The following is a 23,549-nucleotide window of genomic DNA, read 5'->3' on the forward strand; positions in this document are numbered from 1 at the left end:
TGAAGAAAAAATTCTTATAGCCACACTTTTCATGATTTCTAGACCTCTTTAACAATTATCATCTCTTAAATGCTTAGGATTTCTTTGCCAAAGTGAGGCAGAGAATTTCTAATTAAAACCCAAGTCATTTAAGTATATGCGAATTTTTAACAGAATTACCCTAGAGCAATAATTTGCAAATGACTGGGGAACACAAGGGCATGTTTAATTTGAAAGAAAAACATTTTTAAAGGTACGTTTGATATGATCAGCCTATTGCTCAGCAAAGAACTGCTGTTTGGACATTTCACTTGGCTACAAAGATGTGAAAGGCATGAATCTTATAGCCACTGAATTGTGTTGGTCTCGGTGAGCTCATAATCCAGGGAGTGATCTGTATTAGCTACTGACTTGCTTCCAAGTACCATTTGAAGTGTTGATCATAATCTTTAAGTACTTAGAGCCCTGAGCAATTTAGGGATTGTGTGTCTCTATGCAGTCACTGAGATAAGCTATTTTTCCCCCTTTCCTTGCATAATGGTCTAGAGGGCAGGGTGTGTTCTTTGGAGGGCCACTGTCTGCAGATTTTCCAGGCTGTTGATCCTTTTTTTTTTTTTTCCTTCTTGTAGACTCGATTCTTCTGGTAGAATGACTCCCCAGTGTGGATGCTTCAAAAAAAATGACTTTATTGCTCTTGACTCAGCTTTTAAATATCTTTTAATGTGTTTTAAATTTTCATTTGCTTCCTTGGAGTAATCCATAAACTAGTCTATAATTTCATCAACTGCAATAAATCAGCCATACAAGTTTCACCTGAGTTGCCTGTCCTTATGTCATATACTAGGATCTTGTATCTGCATGTAGATAACCTAAGAGTTTGACTGGATTATGGCCCCAAAGACATTCCAGCAGAGGCACACAGGTGACGGTGAAAATCTCAGTTCAGTAATTTACCTTGCAACGCATTTGTTCTGCATGGAGCTCTTCATGGTGATCCGGGAGAGACTGCGAAAGCTTCTTTTTGAAAGTTCGTAGTTTCTCCAGGGAATCTGCTATTCCTTTCTCACATTTTTCCCAGTCCTATCATGGGAATAAAAACAAATAGCATAGATGTTTTTGATGTAGGAAACTGGGGGGGGAAAAGAAAAGAAACACTCTTCTTCATTCCCAGAGAAAGAATGAAAGTTACACTGATGGCTGAGTGTGGTGGCTCACGCGTGTAATCCCAGCACTTTGGGAGGCCGAGGCGGGTGGATCACTCGAGGTCAGGAGTTTGTAACCAGTCTGGCCAACATGGTGAAACCTTGTCTCTACTAAAAACACAAAAATTAGCCAGGCATGGTGGCAGGCTCCTATAATCCCAGCTACTCAGAAGGCTGAGGCAGGAGAATTGCTTGAACCCAGGAGGCAGAAGTTGCAGTGAGCTGAGATCACACCACTGCACTCCAGTCTAGGCAAAAGAGCGAGACTCTGTCTCAAAAAAAAAAAAAAAAAAAAAAAGCAAAAAAAAAAAAGAACAAAGTTGCGCTGATGAACAATATGAAGGTATGCCCACACTCATTGCCAGGGGAGGCAACATGCTGTTGTCATCAGAAGAGCTGAGTTCAAAACTGACTCTGTTACTGACTATCTGTGTGGCTTTAAGCAGATAATGCTCTATGTTTCCATTTTCCCTACGAAAATGGAAAAAATACAAACTCTCCATATTTATTGGAGCCCAAAGGAAGCAATGAGTGTCAAGGCATCAAGCACAATGACCAGAATATTATGGGTATCCAAGAATGTTATCTGAATCCACATCTATCTGCAGAGGTAGGACTATAATCTCAGTACCTTGTCTCTTTCTTAACCCCATCCATAACTACACCCAATGTCTACCCTTTCCCAAATGTACTATAAGGGATTTAAAAAAAAAAGAGGATATGGCATGTCTTACAGAAAGAGAAATATGCACTACAAAAGCATGGCATTTTTGACTGGCTTTATCTTGTTCATGCTGAAACATATGTAGCAAAGGATTAAATGTGTAATATATAAAAACCCATGTAAATTAAGATGTAGAAGAAGAGAGATAATGCACAATTTAAGAAATCTATATCTAATATGCAAAGTAGCAGTAAGTGCTCTGGAGAGGAATAGGCCAGGGCAGGTGGTAGAGATAGGCAGTATAGAATGAGGTAGAGCTCTATGTACTGACAAAATAAAACATCTATTGTGTGGTTATGTTTTGAAAGGTTACACAGCAAACTGGTAACAATGGTTACCTCTTGAGAATATAGGAGAATTTGGATGGCACAATAAGGGAAATTTCATTTTTTACTCTGTATAGTTAAATTATTACCTAATTTTTAAAAATCAGACACACGTAATTTTTTTGTAATAAAAAAGTAGAATTTTAAAAAATGACAGGAACCACAGCAGAGCTTGATCTTTTTTATAGCACCTTATCTACACATTAACTCCTATCCGGTGTCTTAGTGCCAGTGAAAATTAATTTCAACTAAACAAGTCTCCTTCATGTTGTCCAACACTGCCCGTTTGTCAAACTCTCCAATCCAGGCCTTCCTGCTCCCCACTCATCTCCCCAGTGGCCACTCCATACACCGTGAATTACAGAATTCCAAAGCAAGACAACTAGAATCATGACTAGAATCACTTTTAGTTGTCAATATGGTGTCAAATCATGTTCCATCTTCCTTCACAATATCTCTTCCATTATCATCAGTCTTTTCTTATCTGGATTATTTCTACTTCTCTCCTGACACCTTAGTTTGAGCATAACAACCCAGAGGTGTTATTACCACAACTATTTTCTGGAAGCAGTGTTGACTAAAGTGCCCCCTTACTCAAAATGTCTTTATTCAAAAACTGAACTGAGAATTTGGCACAAGTCTCATTTCTCTTTAAAATTCCTTCATAGAACTTCTTAGAGTGCATAACCACATTCCCTCTTCCCAATTACCAGAAAAAAAAATTCTTAAAAAACAAAAAAAAATTGTCTATCAGGGACAGAGTTGTTCAAATTCTCCTTTGTTTTATGCTTTGTGTTCCCAGGGCTACAATTAGCTTATCAATGCTAACCATAGTGAGGGTAGACAAAAAGTTTCTCTTTCTGCTTAAATTAAACAACATTCTCAATAAAACTATCAAACATCCTGAATTGATCAACATACAGTTGATAAAAATTTATTGATCTAAAAGAGATAAGATCATCACGGGTGCTGTGACCCACACCTATAATCCTAGCACTTTGGGAGGCCAAGGAAGGGCAGATCACTTGAAGCCAGGAGTTCGAGACCAGCCTGGCCAACATGGTGAAAACCCATCTCTACTAAAAATACAAAAATTAGCCAGGCGTGGTGGCGTGCACCTGTAATCCCACCTACTTGAGAGGCTGATGCACGAGAATCACTTGAACCCAGAAGAGTGGAGGTTGCAATTAGCCAAGACTGCACCACAGCACTCCAGCCTGGGTGACACAGGGAGACTCTATGTCAAAAAAAAAAAAAAGAAAAAAAAACAAGAAAGAAAGATAAAAAAGATCAGCTTCTTACTTTTCAGAACAAAATTAAGAGATGATAGTGAAGAAGGTGAACATACAGAGCATGGAATTATAATGCCTATATTTGGCATACTTACTAACAGTATTAAAAGCTAAATATAGATAAGTATTATAGCTGGGGTAAAAAATAGACTAAAATGAGGCTATATAAACATCAAAATTCAGATTCATAAATTCCTTCTTAGGCAAACGGATGTAGTGTAAAAGTCAAAATAAAATAAACTTTAACAAGAACAGAAGAGGGATTCCTCTTTCCAAGGATGACTTAGATTCTAAATCTATAACCAAGTCCTTTTATGACGTGAATTATAAGGAAATAACTTAATGTCATGAGCCTGCAAATATCTATTAAAGTGGATGTTTTCTACACCAACAAACAGACAGACAAGAAAAGCAAATGTAGTGACTCAGACATCATGCCTTATTAAGTCTTGGAAACATCTCCAAAAATCACATCACAAATTTAAAAAAATATATGATTAACATGTTCTCTACAGGATGAGTTACAATGTTTTAAATCCTTTCCTAAAAGCAAAAGGAAGAAAATGAACCTGGCATATTACATTACTGATGAAACTGTGCTGTGTGCAAATAATAGTTTTTTATAGATGTCCAGTGGCATTTTTGATGGATTGCTTACTACACAGAAGGCAATATATTATTAAATAAAATTCAATAGAATAAATCCAATGGGTATGTATGCACACTTTAAGCATTAAAAAAAAAAAGCAAAATCTTTTCTATTAACCTTAGTCATTACCTTTGATCCAAACATGTGACAGGCCAAATTTAATAGATACCCTCACTGAAGTGTTGGTGATTATCAACATATACAGGACCATAACATTTAGGTGTCTTTACTTTTAAAGATTGTAATAACATCAACTATGATAATCACTATCATTCATTTAGCGCTCAGTATGAGCCAGGTAAGGTACCACATGATTCACTATCATTATTTCATTAAGTCCTCACAATGGCCACATGGAGGTGGTGAAATTATATACCCACTCTACCGATGAGGAAACTGAGGCTTAGATAGGCTAAGTTAACTGGGTCACTTGGTTTACCATGATTTTAACTTGAGATTATCTTATTTTAGAGGTCCTGTCCTTTTTAAACTGCTCATTTAATTATGCATTATACATGCAATTGAAGAGTGAGAGAGAAAAGCATATTGTGGGAGGTCCGGATAAATCTACATTTTCCAAAACTTACTGTGTGATCAGTATGTGATCTGTATCCAACTAAGGGCTTAATACACCTCCTGGAGATTTTATCTCATGGCAACTTGCTTGGATCAGCTAAGATAAATTAAGAGTATCTTTCTGGATTGGTTTTTCCCTTCCATAAAAGAAGAGATACCAATCTTGAAAACCACTTTAGAGTCTCAGATTAGGGAGTGGAACCTACCCTTTGAATTTCTGTGTGGATTTATAAAGTCATCACATGGCTAAGGTTTCATACTGGTCATTAATCAGAATTCATAGCTTAGACAGTCTTATTAGACTTTACTTTGTTGGGAGGTTGTCCTGAAAAATTAAATGCTGAAAATTGGGAAACTTTTCCAGTTTGTGCAAGATAAGACAAAGTCTTAAATAAAACACAGAGAATCAAAATACTGCAGGGTATTATTTCATGATCTTTGCATTATTTGATTTGTAGAATAACAATGGGAGGAAGTAGTACAACGACTAAAAGGGTTTTTTGGTTCGTTTTTTTCTAACTGAACTTACTTTCAACAAGAAGGCTAGTTTTTTCTTCTGTTCTTCCAGCCGCATGCTGGCTGATTTCCATTTCTCTTGGATTTCAGCGAGTTCGGCCTGCAAGGCGGCCTCAGCGCCACTGTCCGCCGAGAGAAGGAGTTGCTTGCCAGCCTCCACAGTCAGGATGTAGCTGCCTTGTTGCCGCAGAAACACTTTTTCTTTGAACTGAAAGGAACCATAGCTTTTTATTTTCTCATTCTTTCTTTCATCGTTTCCTTCCCATAAGGATTTTTAAATGGCCCTAACTTTTGCCCTCTTTCATCCAGCAAGCATTTACCGTAGTGGTGCTTTGCACATGCATGCACCAGTGAATAAATGAGTGAGAATACAATGGAGACAGGCTTAGTTTCTGTCTCCAAGGTAAGTACGATTGATGTAATAAGATAACCACTCTTTAAGATTGATGCGTGGAAATACAGAGGGACATCTGACCCAGCAGGGGGCGCACCAAGAGGCAGAGAGGCTTCCTCAAAGCAGTAAAGGCTGAATGTGTCTTGCGAGACATGAACTTCACCAGATTAAGAAGGACCTGGTGCGGTGAGATGAGTGTGATCAGGAGTGGAGGAGAGGCCACCTTCTCACAGAGAAATGAGGATGCGCACATTCACTATATGAGAAAAATATGATAAATTCAGGAAACTAAGTATGGTTTTCAGTGGCTGGAGTGTGGATGGCATGTGAGAGAGTGGTAGGAGATGAGGCCAGACGACATCTTGCAGAAATTTGGTTTTTATACTAAAAGTGACTGGGGTTCACAGAAGAATATTGATGTTGGGATTAAAGTTTTCATAAAAGCACTCAGGAATCGAGTAAAAGTAGAATGGAAGAAGGATGTGTGTTGGATATACTAAGATTAGGAAGCTATTGTCTATCTGGGCAAGAAATCGCGAGCACCTAACCAAGGCAGTGGCAGCAGGGATGTAGAGTTAGGGAGATTAGATAAGGGGATGATAGACAAGGAGAAGTATAGCTCTCAAATTATTCTAGGATTCCTAGACTAATGGCACTTCCTGGAAGTGTGATGGGAAAGGGAGAAAAGTTGGTCCAGAGACCACAGGTTCTGCTGGGACCCACAGGGTACAAGGCATCTGTGATGCACATAGACATAAACTCACAAGGTGGTTAGAAACACAAGTCAAAAGCACAGCAGGTAAATATGACCAGAAGATATGAATATGCCCCTTCTCTGCTGGCAGGGGGCAGTTGAAGTCATGTCTGCGAATGAGGGCTCTCAGAGAAATTTGGAGGAGAAACGAACGAAAGAACAGTGACTTTAAGGGAAGAGGAACTCATTGGATACACTGGGGAGAACTCACTAGAGTGATAGGAGATATCTCTCTAAGATGCTAGAAGCCTGAAGGTAAGGGGCAACCTGGAAATGAACAAAGAACTCAAACAGGACAGGGCTTCCTGTCTTCTTTGGAATACTCAAGTTACGTGTTTAAATTGCTCAAGAATAAAATGTATGCAAGCAACATGAAGTTTTTCTTCCCTTGCCATTACCTTTTCATCCCTGCTGGGATTTAGTGAGCTGCGGCAGGCCATAGTGTGTGAAGTGTAAGCAGCCTTTGTGAGAGGCTGGGGCTTACTATCATTTCACCATTAGATATGGGCTTTGTATTGCAATCATTTTGTATATTTCTGTTGACATTTGAGAACAATGTTTGTCCCAGCTGCAATGTCACTCTAGAGTCCTTTTGAAAAACCGAGGCGAAGGTAAAGTGTGCGGTGGAAATGCCTAAGAGGTGTGAGAACACTGTGTTTTGCATCTTACCTGCACTTCATCAAAGAGGGTCCTTGCTTGTTGCAGTGGTATAGGAACACTTCCGAGACCACTCATGGGGAGGTAGGACACTTCAACCAACCATTTACGAAGCTTTTCTGCCATCTCCCTATAGCGCTGCCACTGGCGAATCTGGCTGTCAATGATCCCCCGCCTCTGCTGGGCCCTGCGAATCACTCCCTGCCATTGATTACTGAGGAGTGTCAATTTCAGGTTGAATTCATCCCTAGTGAAGAAATAATTACATGGTAAAAAAGCACTGTTATCTTGGATGCAGTTACGCAATCAGCCAATGTATACACTGTCAACAACCCTAAGCCCTGAGAAGTGATCTAGGGCGGTGGTTTTTGAATATCATGCCATGATCTCTTACTGGGTTTTGGGTCTATTGCAATTAATTTTTAAAATTAAACCACCAGTGTTTGCAAATGGTGAGTGTTTTCATGTCTCAGCATAGGTTGAAGGCAAATATACAATAAGGTCATTGTCCTTCACTGTCTCCCTGAGAGCATGAGAGGGGAGGAGTGGACAGCTGCAGGTGCAACGGGAATAGCTGCAAATCCTAAGCAGCTCCATAGCAACATGTGCAGCTCGTGATGATGATATCATCTTGTGGGACACACTGCAGGAAAATGTGTGGAACAAGGCTTATGTAGAACCTCTGTCTTCAGTTCGAATCATAAGCCACTTGAATCAAATTATGTAATTTAAAAAGATTTTTTAAAAACTGTACTCCATAAACTCTCTCAGTATTCCCTCACAATAAACAGCCCCAACCTTTAGCAAATCATTCCAGATGTTCATCTGAATTATCTCTTCTACATTGTAGGCTGACTTCACTTTATTCTTAGAAAGATGAAAACTTGTTATCATAGTCTGTATAAATGTCATTAATATATTTAGAAATAATAAATTTTACTTAAGATTTCTCAAGTTCAGGCTAAAGTATATCAGGTCTTCTAATGTGTTCTTACCTCTCTGTTTTCTGGCTTTAAAAAAATATAGGTAGTTCTTTATTACGTTTTATTTAATATTTAATTTATGGCTCTAGAACTGGCTAGTAAGAGTCTGTCCCGCATGAAACAGAATGAGTTTCTATGTAGATTACAGTGTTATTCACACCTAAAGTGCAAGTAATGTTGCACTTTAATACTAAACACTTGCACTTCTCTATTACAATAGTTTTGCTTTTCTTCCTCAGATATACTATCCTCTTCTCTTGAGGGTAGCATCAACTTTGAATTGGACTTGCTATTGTGAACTTGTATCTTCTTGAAACTTCCTATTATCCAGAACCACTATAAACTTTGATTTTGTAACCAAATATGCTGTTAGTCCTAGAAACTTATTTAATGACTCAACTTAAACAAAAGGTGAATAACACCCAGACAACGTCAACAAAACAAGTATTAAAAATAAAATGTACTAAGTAAAGCCTCTGCAAAAAATTTCGTATGCCCTCTCATCTTAAAAATAGATCCATAATGGGCCGGGCCCGGTGACTCACGTCTTTAATCCCAGCACCTTGGGAGGCCGAGGTGGGTGGATCACCTGAGGTCAGGAGTTTGAGACCAGCCTGGCCAACATGGCGAAATCCCATCTCTATTACAAATACAAAAATTAGCCGGGCGTGGTGGTGCGTGCCTGTATTCCCAGCTACTTGGGAGGCTGAGACAGGAGAATCACTTGAACCCAGAAGGTGGAGGTTGCAGTGAGCCGAGATAGCGCCACTTCACTCTAGCCTGAGCGAAAGAGCAAGACGCTGTCTCAAAAAAGAAAAAAAAAAAAAATCCATGTGATAGCTACTTAGATTTTGATGATGACTTCTGTTTTTGAAAGGAAATTTTGCTGTATTAATCAATGTACTAGCATTCAAGTGTGATGAATTAGGTTCATGATACTTCCCTAAAAGTTACAAGCATCTGTCATCGCAGAAAATGTACAACTCCAGGACTTGAGAATATCGTATAATCTTGCTTTCCCTACCAGGTAACCATCCAAGGCCTCTTAGGATTCCCCACCCTCTCTTGATACAACCAAGCTGTCCCAAACTACCTGCCAGCATGAGGAATTACTTAAAACATGACACTGTTCCCTGTGCTGAACTTGAAGCTCTAAAAAACGTAACTCATAAATTAACTTTCAGAACAAAATACACTTGCAATCTGAGGCCTTCTTATTGTCAGTAGGCTCTAATCTGATTTTTTTTTCCCTTCAACTTTCAAAATTCTTTACCCTCAAGTCTAACCTCCCATTTTCATCTCTTTGGTGTATTTTCCCTAAATGTTAGTATTGAAAAGTTAATAGATGCTGGCTTGCATGTGAGTATTTAATTTTTATTTTACTTAATGACTCAAACATTTATAATATTGTTATAGAGTTGGCTAAGAAATGATAAAGCAAAAGATAAAAGTTAATTGTATTTGAATTTGTTTTATTTTCAAGGCCTTAAATTCTCAGGAAAGCTCCCATTTAAGTTTGGCTTACTTAGAGTAGAATAAATATAATATCACATTCTGTTGTTCCAAGCTTAACCATGAAGATCTTTTATGTACTTCCAAAGAAATAGCCACTTAAAACTGAAATTGCTTCTACAACATTAAAGACAAAACTCTCAATAAAAATAATTTATTTTTTATTTTTTGAAAAAATATCAAATTAATTTTAGTCACAACTACTGGTTCCTAAATATGAGAAAGGTATACATATGTAATAGAACACATGAGGCTAATACTCCAAATATCACCACGGAAAGTCGATTAGATAAAGTAAATATTGTTCCTAGGAAATGTAAATATAGTATGAAATTGTCATTTCTCATACCATAAATCTGGGGAGAAGCTAAATTTTTACCTCTCCATTTTTAATAAAGAGATAATTTGCTATTGTAAATGAAAAGGAAGAAAAGATTTCAGGCGGCATGTAATCTGACTTAAGGTAGCAAACCATTTTCAAACACAGAATTCTCATGGCATGAGAAAGCTGGCTGGTATGATCCAGTACTGACTGAAAACCAGACATGAGCTCCAGGCCTGATTCTGCTGCTACTTAGTTCTGTGACCCTGGTCAAATCAGTTCACATTTGTGGATTTTGGGTTTTTCATCTGTAAGTAAGAGAGATGGGCTAGTGATCTCTATGCTCCTTTTACAAAAAAATTTCTGTAATTATATAAGAATATTAGAAGCATCTGTTTACAAACCGTTGATAGGTCATTGATATGGTTCATGCTGATCTATTCATTAATTCCATTTCCTACAGATGACTAGTGAAGGTTGGCTAGGTGATTTCCAATTACTCTATGCCCTTCATATAATATAATAGCAGCTCTCCAAAAAAGATTCAATACTCATTCATTTCAGAGATTGAGACAAGTTTCTCCTCCAATTACTGAGGCCCCACTACAGTTCAATTGCCTCAGGAAGATTGGATATATGCCCTCCAATCTGCTCATTAAAAAGAAAATGACTAATTTACTGGAACCTTTCTTTGTAATAATTTATCAAAGATCCTACCTGTCATCAACTTGACCTTGTTCTAGAAGACGTTGCCCATCAATAATGATTGAGTGCAAAATCTGCTGACGACTGAACATCTCGGCTTGAAACAACTATAATTTAAAAAAAAGAAGAACATACTTTAGAGTTCCTAATTTTAGTGATCGGTTCTCTGATAACTTTCCAAATATTCTAGTTTTCGCAAGACTATGAAAGCTATCACCAGCTGAACCAGAAAATGTGTGAAATCCTGCAGTTTAGGAATCATTTATTTTTAAATCATCAATTAAGATACACTCAAAGATAAAGTTTAGTGTTTGGTTTACTAAAACTAGATGACCAAAAGTAGAATTATATTTCTCTTCTTTCTTTCAAAAACACCTAATAAAGTAAGTTAATGCACAATTTGTTTTCTGGTTTATTTTGTATATAAAATATGGTCCATATTCAAAACTTAGAGAATAGCTTAGGACCGTTAAAGAAGTCAAAGAAAAAAAATAGCCTAGTCTTTTTCTGTCTTTTAAAACTCACTGTTTTTAAGTTTTAAATTTTAAAATTAATAAATTTTAATAAATTTATTTCACTATTTTAAAAAACTCAAGAGAAGGTCCTTCGAATTATTTCTACTGTTTTTTAAACAACTTTATTGAGTAACAATTCACATACCATACAATTCACTCATTTAAAATGTTCAATTTAGTGGTGTTTATTATATTTACAGACTTTACAATCATTACCACAATCAATTTTAGAATTTTCATTGCCCCAAAAAGAAAGTCCATCCTCATTAGCAATCATTCCCCATTTCTTCCCAATCCTCCAGCCTTCAGCAACCACTCATCTATTTTATGTCTCTATGAATTACTTACTCTGGACATTTCTTGTAAATGGAATCTTGCGATATGTAGTCTTTTGTGACTGGTTTCTTTCCCTTGGCATAATGTTTCCAAGGTTCATACATGTTGCAACATATATCAGTACCTTATTCCTTTTTATTGCAAATAGTATTCTATTATATAGACATTTCACATTTTATTTATCCATTTATCAGTTGATGGACATTTGGGTTGTCTCCACCTTTTGGCTATTATGACTAATGCTCCTATAAATAATGTACTTACACAAGTTTTTGTGTGGACACATATTTTCATTTATCCTGAGTATATACCTAGGAGTGGAATTTCTGGGTTATATGATTACTCTACGTAACTCTATATGGTAACTCTATGTTAACTGTTTTCCAAAGCAGCTTCACCATTTTACATTCCCATCAGCAATGTATTAGGGTTCCAATTCCTTTACACCCTCACCAAAATTTGTTATTTTTTCATTATAGTCATCCTTGTGGGTGTGAGATGCAATCTCATTGTAGTCTTTTTTCTATTATTTCATCATCTGTCAATTCAACAAAACTGGATTTAAAAATACCTTAGATATCTTTAAATTTTCTATTTAAAAAATTCTGAATTAAGTTTTTCTTTTCTCTTAGGTAAGACCTATCTCTCCATGTGCATATCATTCATAAATACACAAACTGACTTAGTTATACCGGTAAATAGCAACATAAGGATTAACAGTGGGCAAATTTATTAATTTACTTTGTGTATATAGTTCTTCTCCCTCTTTGTTTCTTAAGAAATAATTATAATGCAATTTAATCAAGAGGTACACCTGGAGACATTTGATAGATTGATTTCCTGGTATAAAATTCATATACGCTCTTTGAAGATCACAAAATTTTTAAAGACTTTTGATCAAAGCATAGTCTCTTAAGCAATTGTCCTTGGCATATTAAAGTAGTCTCTAACCCAGTTTGAAAATTGTCTAACTATCTATACACGTTCCACCAACTTTGCCTGTCTCGAGTAAGTAGCCTTTAACCACAATTCTGGCATTATACTTTACAAGGAACTGAAGATTGACACGTGCTTATAAACAATCATGGAGCAGCGAATAGGACTACATTTTTATAATTAAGTTATCAAAACCTCAAGCTTAAGAAAGAAGGCAAAATGATGCATGCATTTAGACACTCGTGCAAAGGGCATGATTTTAATTCTCCCACACAGCATTTCGTAGCATCTTCTAAGGGCCTAAAAATTTCTTATTACCCCCAAATCTACTGATACAACTTACCTCGTGTGCTCTCTGCTGTTCCAAAAGGTGCTGATAATTTCCTGAAATCTCTACTGCTAACTTTTGTTCTGTCTGAACTAGGAATTCCATCCATGTTTCACATTTTTCCAAGAAAGTCTGATGTTGTAGCAAAAATGACTGCAACTTGCTGAAAGAACAAAGGGCAAGGAACAATGGTTATTTCACTGCTTATTCTTACTTCTCTAGCATATAAAACTAGATTAAATAATCTCTGTGCTCAATTCTAATTGAACCACCACAAAGCTTTCATGTCAGGTGGTAAAATTATTTTAAAAAAGAAGAAAGAGGCCAGTTGCAGTGGCTCACGCCTGTAATCCCAACACTTTGGGAGACTGAGGTGGACAGATCACCTGAGGTCAGGAGTTGTAGACCAGCCTGGTCAACATGGTGAAACCCCATCTCTACTAAAAATACAAAAATTAGCCGGGTGTGGTGGTGTGTGACTGTAATCCCAGCTACTTGGGATGCTGAGACAGGAGAATTGCTTGAACCCAACATTGCAGTGAGCCGAGATTGTGCCTTTGCACTCCAGCCTGGGTGACAAGAATGAAACTCCGTCTCAAAAAAAAAAAAAAAAAGAAGAAAGAAAGTTGAAAAAATGTAGAAGTTTAAAATGTACCTCTTTTAAAATGATAAAAATTATGTATATACTTTTAATATATTCTCACTTAAAAGAGTTTTCTGATTAAAGTGCTATTTAGTACACTAAACATGAGAAACGACTTTACAATTTGAATTTCCCACTTTTAGTTCAAATTTTGTCAGTGTTATGGGAAAGATCAGAATTTATAAACATACACAAGTCATGAGCTTATATTCTATTGATACATTGGTGCTATGGTGTGAATGTATCCCTTCCATAATTCAGGTGATGAAACTTCGTGGTGAATGTTGGTAGTATTCTGAGGCAGAGCCTTTACACGGTGATTAGGCCATGAGGACTCCTCCTTTGTCAATGGGATTAAGGGTCTTTTAAAAGAAGATTCACACAGCGTTCAGCACTGTTGTCCTTCTGCCTTCCACTGTGTGAGGACACAGCAACTCTCCCCTCCTGAGGATGCAGCAAAACCTGCCCTCTTGAAAGCAGAGAGCAGCCCTCACCAGACAACTGAATCTGCTAGCACCTTGACTGCGGACTTCCCAGTCTCCAGAACTGTGAGACTGTTCAACATTTCTGTTCTTTATAAATTATGCATTCTGTAGTATTTTGACATAGCGGCACAAACCAGACTAAGACAACTGGAGCAACCAAGACATCTCTTGTTTACTCTACCTGAATCTTTCTGTAGTCTGAGAGGAGATCAGAGACCAATGGCGGTTCAGATTCTGCATTCTTTTGATTTCCTTATCATTCAAGGGTAACCTATATCCAAGCTCATTTAGACGGTCTAAATCTGGAGCCATGCTGCTGAATTTTAACATCTGTCCCTAGAAGGAAGATTTAAAAGTAGGTTTAGCACCATGGTCAAAAAAGTCAAAACTTTTTCAAAGTGCGCAGTGAATTTCTGATTTCAGGAAGTAGCTGGTCTTCGGTCTAGTGGCCTCTGCATTTCTAGGCCACTTACTTACAATCTCTAGGTACGAATAGCGAAAAGCCAAATCTACTTTTCAGTCTAAACTGCTGCTGCTGCTGCTATTGCTACTCAAGCTACTCATTATCCTTTATGGACTACTTAACGTGTATTCTGTTATTTACTTGATATATTATTTACTTGTATGGTTTATACATACAAATATATTATTTACTTTATTTACACGTATTATATTATTTACTTGATTTTTATTACGTGTATTATATTACATATACTATTTACTTGATTTACTCATATGTAATTATATTACAAGTATTATATTATTTACTTGATTTATTTACTCATAGGCAATTCTTGACAGAACTGATTAAGGATGAAAATTATGCTGATAAGTAAAAGACCTTACTTCTTACCATTTACGTTTAATTTGTTCATGCTAATTTCCTCCTTTATTATTCACAACTAACAAAAGTTATAACAGTGATAGCTAACGTTTATTGAGCACTTACTATGAATCAAGCACTGACAAGAGCTTTACAAGTAAGAACTCATTTTATCCTCAAAACGATCACATAAGATAAGTCATGCTGCTATTCTCTCTTTACAAGGGAGGAAAGGGAGGCACAGAAACTAAGTAAATTGCTCCAGGCCAGCCAGCTAGTAAATGGAAGAGGGTAAACGAACCTCCTTGGGTTCTTGCTAGAGAAAATAAGATTTCACTTGAGCTATGAAGTGACCACACATTTTAAGAGCTCCAGTTTTAGGTCTCTGACCCGCCACCCCACAGCTGGTGAGACTCAATCAAAAGAGCAATCTATTCTTTTGGATCTCTTCCCTCCCTTCAAACACAGGACAATGTTGTCGGTTCTGATTTTCCCATGGGTATCCTTATCTCCATCTAGGAAATTGGTTACAGGAAAGAAAAAATGTCAGGCCACCTTTGGCTATGTGTGTGTCTTCTCTTTGCATGTTCTGCAAAAGACTCATGTTTTTTGAAGAAAGAATAAATCTCAAATATTGAAACCAAAATATAACTGTTAAATGGCATAATGTCCATGGGTAGACATCAGCAATGAACAAAATAGCCATGACACAGTCCTTCCCCTCGTGGCACTTACAGGGAATAAGATACTATTCTAGTAGTCAAAAGTGCAACAGTAGTCCCCTACTCACAGGAATGTAATTAAATGACATGATAGAGCATGGAAGAAAAACAATAGTGTGCTATGAAAATGTGTCACTGGGGGGCCTGGTCCTGGACAGACAGTGGAGACTTTCCTAAGAGAGTGACATTGAACAAAATGACCAGGACTTTACTCTTTTTAGTGAGGAGTGAGCTGACGAGGACAAGAAAACAAATCCAGAGAGAGGAAATATCACGGGCACAGTGGCACGGGAGTGGCTGGAGGGAGAGAGTGGCTATGGTGCAACAGAATAAGATCCTCAGGAAAGGTGGAACCAGGATGCCGCCTTGAGAAGCCACATGGTCTTTTCCCTAAGAGCAGTGGGAAACCTTGAGAGCTTTAACCAAGGGAATAATACAATAAAATTTTCATGCCTGTTGAATTATTTTGCTTACTTGATTGAATATTTAAAATCATTCACAATTGGCAGGGCACAGTGGCTCATGCCTGTAATCCCAGTGCTTTGGGAGGCCAAGGAGGGCGGATCACAAGGTCAGGAGTTCGAGACCAGCCTGGCCAACATAGTGAACCACCCCCCTCTCCATCTCTACTAAAAATACAAAAATTAGCAGGGCATGGTGGCACATGCCTGTAGTCCCAGCTATTTGGGAGGCTGAGGCAGGAGAATTGCTTGAAACTGGGAGGCAGGGGTTGCAGTGAGCCGAGATCGTGCCACTGCACTCCAGCCTGCGCAATAGAGCAAGACTCTATCTCAAAAAAAAAAAAAATTCACAACTAAGTAAAACCTTTTTTTTTTTTTTTTTTTAAAAAAGTATTACATTAGGCCTGTAATCCCAGCACTTTGGGAGGCTGAGGCGGGCAGATCACAAGGTCAGGAGATTGAGACCATCCTGGCTAACATGATGAAACCCCGTCTCTACTAAAAATACAAAAAAAATTAGCCAGGCGTGGTGGACAGTACCTGCAGTCCTAACTACTCGGGAGGCTGAGGCAAGAGAATGGCGTGAACCTGGGAGGGAGAGCTTGCAGTGAGCCGAGATTGCACCACTGCACTCCAGCCTGGGCGACAAAGCAAGACTCCGTCACAAAAAAAAAAAAAGAAAAAAAAATTATTAAATTATTTTTGATGGACAAATTATAATCGTATATATTTATGGAGTATGATATGATGTTTTCACACAATGTGGAATGATTAAATCAAGCTAATTAAGTAAAACCCTTAAAAAGAACAAAAAAGGTCATTCTGACAGCCAGGAGGAGGGGAGGTTGGGTGAATGGATGCAGATCTGTGGGAGGCGGCTGTAGGGTCTCAGAGAGATAGGAGTAGATTGAGCTAGGAGTAGATGATGTTAGAAACAGAGACGAGAGGTTCAAAAGTTAATAGAGAGGTGATGGACTGGGTACAGGAACATGGAGAGGGACCAGCCGTGGAAAGGAGGAGTGAGGTGGTTTCCAGCGGTGGAAAGAGGGAGGAGTGAGGTGGCTTCCAGGAGTGAGCTGGGAAATCAGCCTGTGCCCACTGCCAGCACACAGTCTACTGTTTGCCAGAGAAAGTCTCACTGGGGGCTCACTCGAAAGAAAGAGTGGGTCTACATCAGCTTTGAGTTTCACTTAAGATTTTGAAAACAGGGCTGGGTGTGGTTGCTCATTCCTGTAATTCCAGCATTTTGGGAGGCCTGACCTCGGGTGATCAGTTCAAGACCAGTGAAACCTCGTCTCTACTAAAAATACAAAAACTAGCCAGGAGTGGTGGCGTGCCCCTATAATCCTAGCTACTCGGGAGGATGAGGCAGAATCGCTTGAACCCGGAAAGCAGAGGTTGCAGTGAGCCGAGATCACACCACGGCACTCCAGCTTGGGCGACAGAGTGAGACTCCATCTCAAAAAAAAAAAGATTTTTGAAGACAGATGGTAAAAGATCTGGGACTCAGATTTGAACACACTTACCTTAAGTTCTTCCATCCTTTCCTGGATTGTGGAGAGGTCAGATGAGTGGCTAGGGTCCTGCCCTTGTAGTATTTCTTCAGCTTCCACTATCCAGGCCTCCAAAGCTTCTAAACTCTTGGCAAAGGTTTCATAATCAAGAACTCCAGCCTTTTTTTCCACAAAAGAAATTGGTATTTCAGTTAAAAAAAAAAAAATTGGTATTTTAATAAAGTCTGGTAAAAGGGCAAGTGGATATTAAAATTATTTTTCATATTCTTGTATCAAATTGCCATTCTCTAGACGTTCCTATAAAAAAAGCTATAACAATTTAAATCTTCTTTATGTAATTTTTCTAAAAACTATAATTATTTCTATGCACCATAAGTCAATAACAATTCAAATTATTCTTTAAATACATGATCAAACAACACGTCTGAAAAATCTTCTGATTCTTGTAAAAGTCTGAGTTAAATAAACACGAATATTTATATTAAAGCCGCTTAGTGTTTATTAATTGAACAGGCCATGGTGGCAGGCATTGGTTCAGGGGCTTGCATCTTAAACCGATTTTAAAATTCCTTGGCAGAGAACAGCGCAAAACGTCCACCTTCATCGTCCCCACCAGAACTTCCAAGTTTGTTTACTTGCTATTTTCTTGAGTCTTGAAGGAGGCATTGTTGCCATGACAAGGAATTCTTTTTCTGTGTTTGTGCCCAGATATTAGAGAACAGCCAATATACAGAAGATACTAAATAGGAGCTCTGTACCTGTAATGAAGTCTGCTGTTTGCAGAGAGCTTGCTCCAGGGCACACAAGTGTTGACTCAAAGAGAGTTGATCCGATTGAATAGCTGATGCTGCGGAAGCATCCACTTGTTGCTTCAGTTGCTCTCCCAGCTCATGGAGAAAAAAGAGGGAATCTTTAACTGTGCCCAGTCCTTTGAGGAGGTCCTAGAAGAGGTGAAAATATGCCCACTCTGAAGCATGTTGATACTCCTTATCATAAACAGCAATCGGCAAAGGGCTACACATGTAGAAACACACCATTCCTACGGATCATATTATTAGGCTAAATAAACTTCACCTGTGGAAAAATGAACACGCACTGAACCCCATTTTTTAAAATGCTATGTTAATATTTTAAACATACATTATACACATATAACCTATGGCTATATATAATTACTCTTTTGTTAGTAAAAGCTATGTAGGTTCATTACAGGACCTTGGGGAAATGCAGAAAAACATACATAAACAAGAAAAAAAAAAAAAACAAACATGACCCAAGAGTAGAGCCAATAACTGGAAATATTTTGGCAGTTTTTTTCCTGCCTCTTTATGTAATTTGTATCAAATTGAAAACAAAATGTTATATTTTTCCTTTTTCTATTATTATCATACACACCAGGAATTTGTCCGTGGTGTCTTCTATATGTGTGGTCACATTATTGCAAGTACAGCAACCTCCTATCTCAGTAGGGTACAGAACACAGTGATGATTTTGGTGAGCAGGGGGTGAGAGTAGCCTGTATTCCCATTCTTTTCCATGGGATCTCTTTGCCTCCACTTTCTGTGGGACCCTCCTACAGGTTAAAAAATATAAGCCAATGGAAACTCCCTGTTTCTGCTTTCTATCCTATCATTGAGAGATAATAAGTGACTGCTTCTTCTACCTGTTGCTGGTATCCCACTCAGTCATGTTATGCCTAGGCAGTGACTTCTGTGAGAGAAAGAAGAACAAAGGGCTCTTTACGCTTGACACAGATAACAGACAAGGTGTATTTCAATTCAGGAGTATTGAAAATGACAGTTCTTGTACACACAAATTATGTGGATGAAAAAAGCACTGTATTATCTTTATTTTAAAATACCCATCTTTAGCTTTAAAGTGATTATTCAGGTTGAAGATATTAGAATAGGTTAAACTTTTATTTACATAGTTTTTATAGCTTGCCTAATTCTAATAAACTGATTTGGAAAAGTTTATAAAAAGATCCTCGTAACAAGCTCTTAAAAATAAAGACAAATAAGGACAAATAGTAAGAGCCATGTAATGCTTGAAACAAGAGAAGAGCTGTTCCTTAAACCCTTAAGTAGGTTATTGGCAGCTACAGTGAAAAAGAGAATTATTAAAAAGCCATTAAAAGAAGTATACCAGTAAATTAGGAGAGAAAGACTTCTTTCTACCATTAATATCTTAGATGAAACTATTGTGTAGATGCTTACATAGGAGTTAATGAATGTAAATGGACAACATCTGGAACAGAAGATTTTTTAAAGATAGAACACTATTCCCCATATGGTCATGTCTTATATTGACCACCCTAGAAAACACAAAGAGCCTCAATCTTTCACATTGACTAAATTCCACTAGGAAAAATGGGAAAACAACTCATTTTAAAAAATAAAACAATGGGAGGAGACCTCTTAGTCTGATGCATGTGCACCTGTGTTCTGAAAATCAGGCAGGCTCTTTGATCCTAAGACAGTTATTTTTGGGTAACTGTCTCACATAGAAAGACATACCAAAGCTTACACAGACCAAAAGCTAAACTTGGGCAGTCTAAGAAGGGCATGTGGGGAAAACAAGGTAGCTCCTGAACATACGTTGCAATCTTGAATCCATGTGGCAACCTCATCATCGGCAATGTCCTTGTTTGTGGCTGCCTTCAACAGCTCATTGGTTCGATCCTCCTGCTGCTGAACTGTCGAAGCACACTGTTTGGAGTAGTCCTTGTATCTTTGCCAAAGCTGAAGTAGGGCCTTGCTGGACTGTAGCTGCTCAGCAATCTCTTCCAGCAAGTTATTCCATCTGGAAATAATAACCAACACTCATGAGCAGATTACCACCTCTCACCAAATGTGGATATGTGCTATTTTATTTTTCATGATCCTGGTTCATGTGAATATAGACATAATCATTTCTAGTTAACATAATAAAAATTAATGTTTCATATTCCTAGTTTCAGGGTAGGTAATGAGGATGATGGCAATCTTTGGGTGTACAGTACTTCTAATTCTTTCTAAATCTCTTCACTACATTTATTTATCCTTAAATTCATGTTGTGAAAGAGAAGTTTAAAGGAATAGAATCTATATAGCTCAAATTCAAACTGTCATTGTTTTAATTATATCATTATTTATAATAAGGCTGTGATATAAATAGTGTGTAAAGTTAACATACTCCATACCTCATGTTGACTTCTTTCAGTGTATTGGTAAGAGTTTCTGTCACGGGTGGGTGACACTCTTTTAATAATTGGTTGGTGATAGAGCCAAATTTCTGTAAGCTCCTTTCCTGTTTTTCCAGATCATCTTGGAGATTCTGCCCCAAAAAAAAGACCCATAGATGACATAACAGGATCTAAATTCTAATAAGCAAGTTTAAAAGGAATTTGTATATGTTTTCATAAATATGTACATATACTTGTATAAACCAGGCATGACTTAGCACCAATGCTTTATCAGCTTTCTTTAGATAATCATTTATTCTCTTTTGTAGGATTTTGTTATTTTGGCTATGAGAAGAGGTTCTGAGCAATGAAGCCTTCTTCTATTGGCATTTGCATTCTGCTGAAAAACTCACATAGGGTGCCCTTGTCCATTGTCTGGTAGGAAGCTGCCAGAGATGGTAAATTCCTCTTCAAAGGGTTTAATTGTGTAATGTCCTTGTCCTTGGTTCAGAGGCCTCACCTCCTTGTACTTTCTTGTTTCTGGCCTGTGAGCAGCCCTCCTGCTCTTGTTGTGTCCTGACTTGCCCAGACATGTCCAAACTTGCCTTGTGCTGTAACACAGGGACCACTCCTACCCCTCCCTCCCTTGAGAATCACATATTTACCCTAATTGGAAAAGTTTAAGTCTTAGCCAACTGAGGTCAGTTTAGATTGAGTGGTCCAACCCTAGCCAACAGGGGAAGGATGCAGGGATAGGGACTGCGTTAGGGATAAAAACTCCTTCTCTCCTTTGTTCAGTGTGCTCTTGCAGCAGCCAGAAGTGTGAGTGGCACCCTCCTGCAGAAGTAAATTTGCCTTGCTGAGAAATCCTTTAAGTGCTCATTTTCCTTGCTACCCCAAGCTCTTGTTTCTAACAAAGCCATGGCAATGGTGTTATGTAACGTGCTATCTGCCAAACTGTGGATCTCTTTGACACTCAAAGCCAAAGCCAGGTCTCTATTTTGTTACATACCCGCAGTGCTTCTACCACAAACTCCCGAAGATGAAGACTCTAAGAAGGCACAGCTTTGCCAAGCTTTATCTCTGGGTGTTCTTCCTTGCCAAGAATTATTTTTAACTTAAAAAAATGATTTTCAATTGACAAATAATAATTGTATGTATTTGTAGGGTACTATATGATGTTTTGATATATGTTTACATTGTGGAATGAATAAATTAAGATAATTAACATATCATTACCTCACATACTTATCCATTTTTGTCTAGCAAAGTTGAACTCATAGAAGTAGAGAGTAGAATGGTAGTTACCAGGGCATGGGATAAGGGATTAGATGGGGAAAAGAAAGATGTTGATCAAAAGGAACATAGTTTCAGCTACACAGGAGGGATAAGCTTTAGTGATCCACCGTACAGAATGGAGACTATAATTAATAATAATGCACTGTATATGTCAAGATTGCTTAAAGCAAAGAATATTTATCAGACAGGTTTGGCATCTTCTACCAAGCCTATCTAAATAGTCTGCTACCAAGGACCAGTAAGGGAACTGAAAGAAAGTTGTTTCTCTGGAAATAGTGCTGAGGTGACAGACTCAGTTCTTCATAAAACTCCACAGGTGAAGTAGGCTACAAAAATCGAGTACTGTTTAACACCAATATCTGATTACCCTCAAATGAAAACAGTCAAGGAAAAGACCCTTAATCCTTTCATGTCTTAAGACAGCTCTTGCAAGTATTAAACATAACATATATTAAATTAAAAAGCATTTCTAACCTCCTCAAAGTTATAAGATGTGCTTTTAAATTTACTATCCTCAGAAGAAGTTTTCGTGATCCTTAGTAACGACAATTTAAGGGTTAAGAAATTATATAGACAAATTTGTCCTTCCTCTCTTCCACCCTACCCTAAAAAAAATATTTCCTTAAGAAAGTCGGCCGGGCATGGTGGCTCATGCCTGTAATCCCAGCACTTTGGGAGGCTGAGGCATGTGGATCATGAGGTCAGGAGTTCAAGACCAGCCTGGCCAAGATGGTGAAACTCCATCTCTACTAAAAATACAAAAATTAGCCAGGCATGGAGGCACATGCCGTAATCCCAGCTACTCAGGAGGCTGAGGCAGAGAATTGCTTAAACCCGGGAGGCGGAGGTTGCAGTGAGCCGAGATAGCACCACTGCACTCCAGTCTGGGCGACAGAGCGAGACTCTGTCTCAAAAAGGAAGGAGGGGAGGGGAGGGAAGGAGAGGGGAAGGGAGGGGAGAAGAGGGGAGGAGAGGAAGGCAGGCTGCATCTGAGGTCAGCAACATAGAAGCTTTGATTGGCTGGCCAGGGAGGCGGACTAGATATTAGCAGGGCACATGCTGGTCTCTTGTTGGCCTCCCATCCCTTAGGGGCCTGCCCTGCCCATCCCATAGTCTGTGTTCTTTAGCCAAGAAGAAAGAGCAGTGACAGGTGAGAGTGGCCCGGTGCACAGGAGAGTGGGGGCAGCAGGAATTTGAGGGCGGTGACCTGAGACAGGAGAGAGTGCTATGTTGAAGACAAACATCAGGGATATCATTTTACATGGACACAATGACAAAGGACCCACAGGAAACCAAGCAGTAAGTGCTAGAAAGGAAGATTCTGTGGACACGCTGGATAGGCCACTGATATTTTACTGAATGGAAGCAACTGAATGGTTTAAACATTTACCACTTTTGCCGTTTTTCTCTGTGTTTTCTTTTGAACATTCCTTAGAATATGTTTGGAGATGCAGATAAGAAGAGAAAAGGAAGACAAAAGGCAGTGACAATGAATCAAGGAGGTTCAGTTGGGCATAAAATCATTGTATAAAAGACGATGTGAATATTTTTTTACAACAGGATCTTGGAAACCATTTAGTTATATACCAGCTAATCCAGAATTTGGCACACACAGGCAAGTTTGCTCAAGTAACAATAACACAGGTAAAATTAATTTTAAAGATCTTAAAAAATAATTAAACGTAAACAACATATGGCAATATTTCAGGATGATGTCTCCATTTGGTAATTTT

The 23,549-nt window shown here is 38.2% G+C and overlaps 1 protein-coding gene across 48 annotated transcripts in view, besides 1 other annotated feature; it reads right to left on the reverse strand.

Moving 5' to 3' along the window:
• The window catches only part of SYNE1 (spectrin repeat containing nuclear envelope protein 1), a 515,676-nt gene that overhangs the window by 79,204 nt on the left and 412,923 nt on the right, over window positions 1-23,549 (reverse strand). For all 48 annotated transcript variants that reach the window (XM_047418508.1, XM_017010610.2, XM_017010609.2 and 45 more), the window contains 10 exons: window positions 20,536-20,669; window positions 19,952-20,156; window positions 18,113-18,295; window positions 17,367-17,513; window positions 14,016-14,170; window positions 12,722-12,869; window positions 10,604-10,698; window positions 7,082-7,316; window positions 5,278-5,472; window positions 934-1,059 (listed from right to left, as the gene is read on the reverse strand). In XM_047418508.1, the coding sequence (XP_047274464.1) occupies window positions 934-1,059; window positions 5,278-5,472; window positions 7,082-7,316; window positions 10,604-10,698; window positions 12,722-12,869; window positions 14,016-14,170; window positions 17,367-17,513; window positions 18,113-18,295; window positions 19,952-20,156; window positions 20,536-20,669 (1,623 nt within the window). The remainder of the gene's footprint in view (window positions 1-933; window positions 1,060-5,277; window positions 5,473-7,081; window positions 7,317-10,603; window positions 10,699-12,721; window positions 12,870-14,015; window positions 14,171-17,366; window positions 17,514-18,112; window positions 18,296-19,951; window positions 20,157-20,535; window positions 20,670-23,549) is intronic.
• Window positions 20,247-21,446: an enhancer, noted in NCBI's record as "MED14-independent group 3 enhancer chr6:152542272-152543471 (GRCh37/hg19 assembly coordinates)". NCBI's record gives its function as "activates an origin of replication core promoter dependent on BRD2, BRD4, P300/CBP and CDK7 cofactors, and independent of MED14, by STARR-seq in HCT116 cells {active_cell/tissue: HCT116}" and the evidence as "EXISTENCE:reporter gene assay evidence [ECO:0000049][PMID:35650434]".

This window comes from Homo sapiens, chromosome 6, assembly GCF_000001405.40.
Source record: "Homo sapiens chromosome 6, GRCh38.p14 Primary Assembly".
NCBI classification, from domain to species: Eukaryota; Metazoa; Chordata; class Mammalia; order Primates; family Hominidae; genus Homo; species Homo sapiens.